This window comes from Homo sapiens, chromosome X (genome assembly GCF_000001405.40).
Source record: "Homo sapiens chromosome X, GRCh38.p14 Primary Assembly".
NCBI lineage: Eukaryota > Metazoa > Chordata > Mammalia > Primates > Hominidae > Homo > Homo sapiens.
The window spans coordinates 54990890-55000243 of NC_000023.11; the positions used below are offsets into that span (position 1 = coordinate 54990890).

Sequence of the window (9354 nt, forward strand, 5' to 3'; positions counted from 1 at the left end):
TTCATTCATCTTTTAAAAATTGTATTGGCAAACTCAGAATAAACAGGAACGTCTTTAACCTATTAAATGATATCTACCAAAAAAACTACAGCAAATTTGCTCAATGGTGAAACTTAAAATCGGGATCAGCATAAGAATATACATTATTAACATTTCTTTTCAACGTGTACTGCACATCTCGTGTGTGTATATTAAAGGCGGGAGGTCTTAGCAGTGTAATAATATAAGAAAGATAAAAATGAGGGTTGTGGGGAAAATGAAAGCTGTCATTTACATACAAATTATCAAAACTCATAAGAAAGTTTAGCAGGTTTGCTAGTTACAAATTCATTACATGAAAAACAAATACAGTTGTATACATTAGCAACATACTGCTATAAAATTTAATTTTCTAAAAAGGTACTGTTTAAGATAGCAACAAAAAATAAGCCAAAAAAATCTTACAATGGCATGCAAACCTTTTATAGATTAAATTATAAAACTTCACTCAACATGAAAAAGTCTGAATATATGGAGTGATATACCGTGTTTAGGGAAGACTCAATGTCACAAAGATGGCAACTCTCCTCAAATTGACTGATTTACAGATTGAATGTAATTTCCATCAAAATCCCAAAAGTTCTCTCTCTCTCTCTCCCTCTCTCTCTCTCTGTGTGTGTGTGTGTGTGTGTGTGTGTGTGTGTTTGTATATGTGTGTAACTTGGAAAGCTGATTCCAAAATTTATGGAGAAGGGCATTGGACCAAGAATAGCCAAGACACTCCATAAGAAGGACAAGATGAAGGGACTTGCTCTACCAGGATAAAGGTACAAGAATGCCCATTGGATTATTCTTCATAATCAAAAATTAGAAACTAACCAAATGCTCAACAATAGTAAGATGGATAAACTGTGGGATATTCACAAGGGGAATAAACAAACTACAACTGCTTGCAACGATAAAATGGGTGGTTCGCATAAACATAATGTTGGATGAGAAAAGAATATGCACAGCTGTTCAAGTACTTTACATGTTAATGTATTTAATCTTCAAAATAACATTAAGTAACTGTGTGTCTGCTAGAGAGGATGCTCCAAGAAAAAGGTGATTCAGACCTTACAGGGACCAATAGACTGGCCTCCCTAGCAAGAAGTGAACCAGACATTGTCCAGACTTGGCAACCACTATCTAAGTTTTTTGCATCTATGGTCTGATAAAATTTAGTCAAATATTAATGAGTGACTGTCTTGTACACACAGAGCCCCATTCTTGGCTATGGTGAGTGGTAGAGTGGAAGTAGCACAGAGTGACCATTTACTGAGCATCTACTATGAGCCAGGATCAGGGCCTGATGTTGAGGATATGATGGTAAATAAGACCACACACCCGCTTTCTTGTTTATATAACAAGAACAATAATAATTAGGATAATTAACAATTACTGCGTATGTACTATGTGCTGGACACTCTTCTAAGCACATCCCATGCTCCAGTTCATTTAATCTTCACAACTACACTGTTATTAACTTCCTTTTACAAGTGAGGAAACAGAAGCCAAGAGAGGTTAAGAGAGTTGTCCAAGGTCACAGACACAGGGGGAGATAGAGCTGGAACTCAAACCTAGGCAGTCTGGATCCAGAACCTCTGAATCAGTGAATTACTCCCAATAACACTGGGTTGCAGGCATTAATCCTGTTTTATAGCTGAGGAAAGTGACACTCCAAACAAAAGTAAGCACATATTTATTTTTCACCTTCTATTTGATAGAGACTATATTAGGTGATTTATGTATATTATCTCTCCAACTTGAAAGACACAGTTCCCAGGACTATAAGCATTCTAGCTCTGGAGGACCCGTGTATGCAGAGAATGGCTTGCTTGTTTGTCAACTAAACAGCCCCTTGGAAAAGGCCAAGAGTGGCTGGCTGGGCGAGGGTACCTCTCAGTCTCCAGGCTCCTAGATCTCCAGATGAGTGAGTGAGAGAGCTGGTGGAGATAAGAAAGAGAGAGAATAGGAGCCTAGTCTTTTTTCTCTCTCTTCCTCCACCCACACCCTACCTCCTGTATATTATAACTATATTTAACATCCTATATGCTCCTAGATCCTCTAAGCAACTACTGCTACCCCCAATATCCCTAAGCCTGGGCCTCCTCTAGCATTAGCAGACTGGAAACTTGGTTAGCTGGCCTTTGGGGTGTCTGAGTCCCACAGTCCACAGCTGCCTTATCTTAACCCACCTTATGGCCACTCAGGCCACAATCCCTGGGCTGGATGCACCTTGGTCCACCACTGTCGCCTGTTATCTATGGGAAATGGTACACTCCAGATTTTGTTTTAAATATGTACAGGTTTTGTTTTGCCCTTGATCTTTCTTAAATTTCCAAAGTGAGCACCACACCAGTGGGCTGGCCCTGAGAGACTGCCTCTCTCAAATTTCCAGAGCAGCAAGGAAGTCCATATGTGCCAGGAAGGCAACACTGGAGACAGGACATTAAGTGTTTCCCAACCTAGGCAGGTATAGACTCAGAAAAGGCCTGAGAAAGGAGAGGAGCAATACTGACCAGTGACATGGCACTGTTGTGTACCCAGCACCTGTCCCCTGAAAGATGATGCCAGGAGCCATCACCTTATTTCACCCAGGCACTATCAGTCAGGCAAGACCAACTCCCAGACACTTCACAGAAGTCACCAAAATGAAACATACTAGGCTATCACTGAACAGTCCTAAACTAGAAATCTTAAATTCCAAACAAGAAGCATTCCAAACAAGCTCTGCATAAGAAAGGAAAAGTTCCTAAAGATCCCTCTGATTAAGATGGTCTTAACCTAATCCTCCTTTGTCTTCATCTCTCTTTCCGCCTGTCTTCTCTCTCATTCTTTTCCTCACGTTTTTGACACTAGCCTCTATTTCATCCAGTTGTTCATCTATTCCAACTTTTAGGTTGAGGTAGGAGTGGATGGCAAGGGGAGGTGCATCCTTTGCTCTTCTACACCCACTCTACCACCACCACCTTTAAACCCACGGAAGCAAACCCCACTTACAGCCCCTTCTCCGTTGCAGCCTGCTGCTGCCGCTGCTGTGTGGAATCCAGATCTTCTGCAACCTGGTTTGGGTGAGCTCTCCCATCTCTGGAGACATCTTAGGAGTCGCACCGAATGACATCACTGCCCACAAGGTACCTGGCCTCACTTCCTATCTTACTAGCTGTCTTTTCTCTCGCTGTGGCCACAGCAGCAGGTGGACAGGGCTGGGACAGGGGGTGTACTGGGTTTCTGAGCCCTCTCAAAGTCTGTCTTCAGTCCCCTCTCTTCTTTCCTCTGGTCCTAGCCTGCCTCTGCTCCTGTATGTACTAGTGGGGTATTGGGTGCAGAGGGCGAGAGGTTGGGCAGAGGTCAGGAGAGGCCTCTGAACTCCAAGGGCTGTGTACATAGGAGGTAAGTTGGAGCCCAACAAGGAAGGCAGCCAGCAACACAGCCCAGGTCTGACCAGTCACTTCCCTCCAATGAAGACAAGACTAATAGAGTATGCAAATAAAAGACCAAAGATCATGTGCTTACAGCCTGTGTGGGGTATAGAGGCAAAGGTGATGGAGGTAGGTCTCAGCGGCTTTCCCAGCTTTGAAATAAAAAAATGGGCCCAAGTAGAATGTCAAGCTCCAACCCAGAAACCAAGATTCACATCAGAAATGCAAGGTTCCCAAGGACAAAAACACAAACACAAAGTCCCTACTGGGGAATGCAGTGTTTTGAGCTGGCAATTAGAGGCCCAAACTGGACATGGAAGGTCCACTACTTCTCTGCTTCCCCGACCCAAAATGGCATTGCATCCCTTGTCTTCTCTGGATTCTGCTGCCTTCCTTGCCACAGGGCCTCTCCCACCTGAAATGTGCTGCCTGGAGCACTCTTGAAGAGATGGGCACTATCCGATCATCTTTCTACTCTCTCCAGCCAAGGGCTAAATAAATAGGAGTAAACTGACACCTTTGGAAGAGTGCAGCCATTGCCTGGGGCTGGAGGTGGGGGAATGGTAAGCTCTGCCCACATGGCTGTTAGCCACCATCAGATGCCCTAAGGAGAATGACACTGGCATCATGAACTGATAGAAAATTTCACTAAAGTTCCTCATGCCAAGCTATTAGGATGGAGATTTAGGAGGGTGGAGGCTGCAGCAGGGAACAGAGAGCAATGGCCTCAAAGTAGGACAAGTCCATAGGCCAGAGTCATCCAGCCCAGATGACTCACTCTCACCTGCCCTCTCCCGCTCCCCTGACCCGTTGTTTTGAGGCTTTTATGTGTATAACTCATAGAACTGCACAGCTTGCCTCGAAGATGCACAAGTGTCCTCTTACTTCACTCTTTTGCAACCTTCCCACCCCCAATGAACCTCCAACGATTGGCTATGAAGAAGCTCAACTTTCTTCCACTGAGCTGGGCTACACAAGGGCAATCTCTTGGGGACAGAAATTTCCAATCCCTGCCCTCAAATGCTCTCAGTTCCACTTTGCCTTTTAAGAAGTTCCCTAAAATACATTTGCAAGCCGTAGTCTACACAAGGGTCAGATTCCCTCCAGTTGTTGTGTATAAATCATACCAAATTTTTAATACATTCCAGAGCCCACCTATCTAAATGAATCAACTGAGATAGCAGATCATGATGGTTAAGAGCAATAGGCTCTGGAGCAATATTTCTTGAGTGGAATCCTACCTCTGCCCCTTGTTGGCTATGAGGCAATGAGCAGAAGACTAAACTTTTCAGTGCTTCAGTTTTCTTATCTGGAACATGGGAATGATAGGAGTACCTACCCTCCTTAGGACTGTTGAAGATTCAATGTGTTAAAAAATGTAAAGCAATCTGTGAAATGTTAAAAATATATTATCTAACACTGTTACTCCCTTTGGGAGGTAAATGATCAGACACCTCCTTGACTAATCTGAAACTTCTAATATAATGCTGACCATACAGAAAACTCTCAGTTAAGGAAACTTACAATATTATGGGAAAGGGTTAACATTTATAATACACAAAGAGCTCCTGCAAATCAATTAGAAGGATGAATTTGGTTTTACTCTTTTGATTTTGTGTAAAGACTTGCAAGATCATTTCATCTCACCCTCTCAGGTAAGAAAACTGAGGTCTAGAAATATTTTCCTAAGGTCATGTAGTAAATCAGTGGCCAAGTCAGGAATAGAACACTAGGGACCTAATTTCTCCCAGGCCAGGGCTTTTCTTTAATTAATCAAACAAGCCTGATCTAAGAATGTGGTCTTACAGGTTAGCTCAGAACCTCTAGAGTCTCAGAACTAGACTTTGTAAGAGATACAACTCTTTTAATTCTAATAAATTTCCTAACTGGTATAAATCTGTTAATATTAATAATCTTAATTATAACCCTTTCCCTGTATGTTTTCCATTGCCCACAAAGCAACAACATATTCCTTATCTTATTTGATCCTTGCAAACATCCTTGTTAGCCTTACAGGGAAACTGAGGTCTGGGGAGGGGAAGTGGCATGTTCAAGGTAATCTAGCTGGTCACATGAACATCTCTTTTATGTTTACAATTTTGTCCTCATGGCCCTGCCAACAGGCAGAAGGATAATTTTAGCAGCAGGAAATCTGAGATAAGAAGCTGGCAGGCTTTTGACAAAGTCTTAAAGGGTAAACCTGGGGTCCAGGCTTGAAAGCCTAACTTAAAATTGCCTGGAATTAGCTATGAGATTCCTCACTACTGTTACCAATTCTGATCCCAGAAGCAGGAGACCAAAACAAGCTTTATGGAAAGACCTCAGCTTGGCACTCAAGACTTTTCAATCAAGCTTCAGCCTATCTGTCCAGCCATATCTCTCCTTAGATCATCCTTAAACTGCACTGGCTGACTCACTGGGCCCCAAAATACATGGTGTATTTTCCTGTTTTTTGGCCTTTGCTCAGCCTGAAATGCCATTTTCCTCCTTCTATTCCCAACAAAATCTGATCCACTTTTCAAGGTCTGGTTTGATGTTCACTTCCTCTGGGAAGTGACCCCTGTATCCTTGGGACAGGCCTTGTATTTGGTTCTTATATTGCCCACATGCTCCTATCTGAGCAAGTATCCACCAGTATTTTCCTGGTCTGCTTCCCCACTAGACTGTGAACTCCTTGAGTATGGAGACTAGATCTCAGTGATCTGTAATTTGTGTTTCCAGTGTCCAACTCAGGCCCTGGCACAGAGGACAGAGAAGACACTTGCTTATTGTGTTTGTGCAGTCTACATCTCTCTGCCCTAGATGAGATGAACTTGTGGACAACTAATCCTAGTTCAACAAGGTAAATATTATAACAGAGAGCTGTGCAGGGAATTGGATGGGAGAACTAATTTGTCTGAGGTAGGAGGTGGCATCCAGAAAGGTTTCTCTACCTTGAATGGGACAGAAACAGATAAAAGAATGAAGTCCTCTCTGAAAAGGGCCAATGAACTCGTGGCAGAGAAAGGGTTCAGTCAGTACCAGATTCTCATTCAAGATCAAGCTCTGACCTGCAGCTCTTGGTCTAAAATTCTAAAATGGGGCTATCTCTAGGGAAGAAAAGATTACAATGTGATTTCCCAAGGCCCCCAGATCCTGACCCCATACCCCTCCCAAAGTATAGGGCATGTGTATCGGGGGAGAATACCATGTAAAGCAGCATATGACAGTGCTGATGGATAATAAAGTCACGAATGGGGTCTCCCTATTGGTAGCTCTCAGACTGTTTGGGTATGAATGCATTTGTGGAGAGTGAAGGTGTGAGGGGAGATCGACCACACACTTACAAGCTAGGTGCATGTATATGAGTGTCAGGCCTTCTGTGACAGCAGCCTAGGATCCCCTTCCTTCTCACCCACTGTCCTGGCCCACCATCTCTCCACTATTTTCGGCCTCATGCCTGGGCCCCAAACCTCACTGAATCCTAGTCATGGAAGTGGCTCTCCACAGACTATAGTCGCACAGCAGCTGGAGGGTTTTGGGTGGGATTGCTTGTGGAGCCTATAGAAAAAGCAAGATGACTACTCTTAGAGCGAGGAAGTCCTGAAATGTCTCCAAAGAGCTTTGGTTTCTGCCTTTCCACTCTTCTTGATCGTGACAGCCCTCTGAGGAACGTTGGCTAGAGACTTTGATTTCCATTTTACTGAGGAAGCTACTGATGCCCAGAGAAGCAAGAGAGCTTGTTCAAAGCGCCACAGCAAATCAACCCTACTTTACACATCAGTGGGGAGGTAAGAGCTATAATCTCAATCACTCAGTTCATTCAAAACCAGACTTGACCAAGTTAGAGAGACTTTCACAGGTGCTAGTGAATTGCCCTGGGGGCCAGTGTCCCATAAAGGCCAGAATGGACTTTTAAAAATATACAGACAGATAAATAGGTTACATATAGATATAATCTTTTCCCCCACTTTCCCATGCCCTTTAATGCACACGACAACCAACCATCTATGCAAAGAAAACTTTCCAGAGGGCCTGAAGAATGGATGTGGATTTGTGCAACTCCTGCCTACTTTCCCTTCTTTCTCACCTACCTTTTATTCTAGAGGTTTTTTCTTCCATCGCTAATTATCCAACACTCGGTTCTCTTGCATTTACAGACCCCCAAGGCAGGTCCAGTGGGTGGCATCAAAGAGGAAGCCTGGAGGTGTTCGTTGGTTCCCTGAGAAGGCTGAGGACGTACCCTTGTTAAGTGGGGGATGTATGTGCTCTGTTGAAATATCAGCTGTTGTAGTTGCCAAAGACGTTCCTGAGCCACCAGAAGCCTTTTCTCTTCAGTCCAACCATGTGTTCACCTTGCCCCAAAGGTCAGAACTAATATTAACAAGCCACTGCAGAATGGGGAAATTAAAACCAGCCATGGAGACAGGCAAGTTCTGGATTTCGCTGGTGCTGAGTTTCAGATCGATCTTCAGTGTAAATGGGCATAATCCCTTACTGGAAAGCAATCTGGCAATATGAAGCAAGAGCAATAAAAATGTTCATTTCCTTTGTCCTAGTTATCGCACTCATGGGAGTCAATCCTGAGTCAATAACTCCCAAAGCATGAAGAAGCTCAGGACATGCAAATTTTTATTTTAATCACAGAGCTATTTTCTGATAGCAACAACTGGTAACCTTTTAAGTCCTCCAGGAGGAAAAGCAGTTTACTGCGTCTTTGCTGTAACCATTGAGGATGATGGCTCTAAGACTTAAATTCTGGGGAACAAATAATTATGCTGCAATTCTGGGTGAGGAACCTAAAGATGCATCGTTATGCTTTTCCCTGGACATTGGGCATATCCATTACTTCTAATTTTTGTGCTCTCAAAAACAAGCCATGAACCTGTCGATGCTCTTGCTATTATCCTTTGTTCATTCATTCACCTGACAAATATCTATTGCTTCCCAACATATGCTGTGTCCAGTATTAGGGGATGGGGCTAACAAGATGAACCAGACATGGTCATTGCTCTCAAGTTGCTGGCATTCTAATGGCAGCAGAAATAGAAGTCAATGATAGCTGTGTATTATAAGTACTGTGACAGAATGGACCATAGGGTGCCGTGGGGCCCCAGAGGAAAAGACTTAACTGGGGAGGTGTGTGGTCAGTAAAAACACTCAGAAAAGTAATTATTGAGCTAATTAAGACAGGGTGTGAATCCTGGCTCTACTACTTCAGTGTAAGAGAGAGTGAACTGTGAGAATGAAATGAATTCATTCGACGTCTCTAACTTAGCCTCCATGTCCCGAACTGGGTTGTCTTGAGAATGAAATGAGATAACATATACAGAAGAGCCATGGATGCATCCGGAGACAATGCTGCTCACGAGCTTACATTTCCTGGGCTTCGATTTCACTTATCTGAGAAACAGAACCAAGAGTAAGGATGTGTCCGGCTACATCCTTCAGAATGTTAAGAGCCAAGACAAAAGCTACAGGGCAGGCTTGAGACAGCCTCCTCCTCCTCCCCTCTGCCCCAATAAAGCCAAAGGCCCTCCTCCTAAGTCTTATCTCAGTGGAGCGACTCTTACTGCTCCCTCCTCCAACCATGAACTTCCCTTTGCCCAGTCCAACGCGAGCACTTAGCGCCAGCTATTCCTGGGGCGCAAGCGCTGCAGCCATCTGTGAACTTAGGTGGGCGGTCCGCCGCACTGAGGGCGGGGCTTTGGCAGCTGAGCAGTTCCGCTCAGGGTTCCGTCGCTTAAAAAGTGGCAAAATGCCGTTTGTAAGTAACCGGACGCACCACTTGGACTTCTGAGTAGAGGAAAAACGCATTGAGACTCAGCTGTCCGAGCGGAAGGAGCGGGAGCCCAACTGGAAACTCCTCTCGCCATTCATTGCCCCTAGGCTTCCGCTTTGCTTCCTTCAGCGTCCACCCAGTTCCTCCTCC

The 9354-nt window shown here is 44.0% G+C and overlaps 1 protein-coding gene across 10 annotated transcripts in view; it reads right to left on the reverse strand.

Moving 5' to 3' along the window:
* Window positions 1-7900, reverse strand: part of PFKFB1 (6-phosphofructo-2-kinase/fructose-2,6-biphosphatase 1) — a 65829-nt gene extending 57929 nt beyond the window's left edge. For 6 of the 10 annotated variants that reach the window (NR_073450.2, NM_001271804.2, NM_002625.4 and 3 more), the window contains exon 1: window positions 3022-3299. Coding sequence is in view for 8 of the 10 variants with exons in the window: in XM_017029576.2 (XP_016885065.1) it covers window positions 3022-3142 (121 nt within the window). In the remaining 2 variants the exon portion in view is untranslated. Of the gene's footprint in view, window positions 1-3021; window positions 3300-7516 lie in introns of those variants that run through there. The other 4 variants (NM_001271805.2, XM_047442158.1, XM_024452389.2 and 1 more) reach the window with 1 other exon arrangement.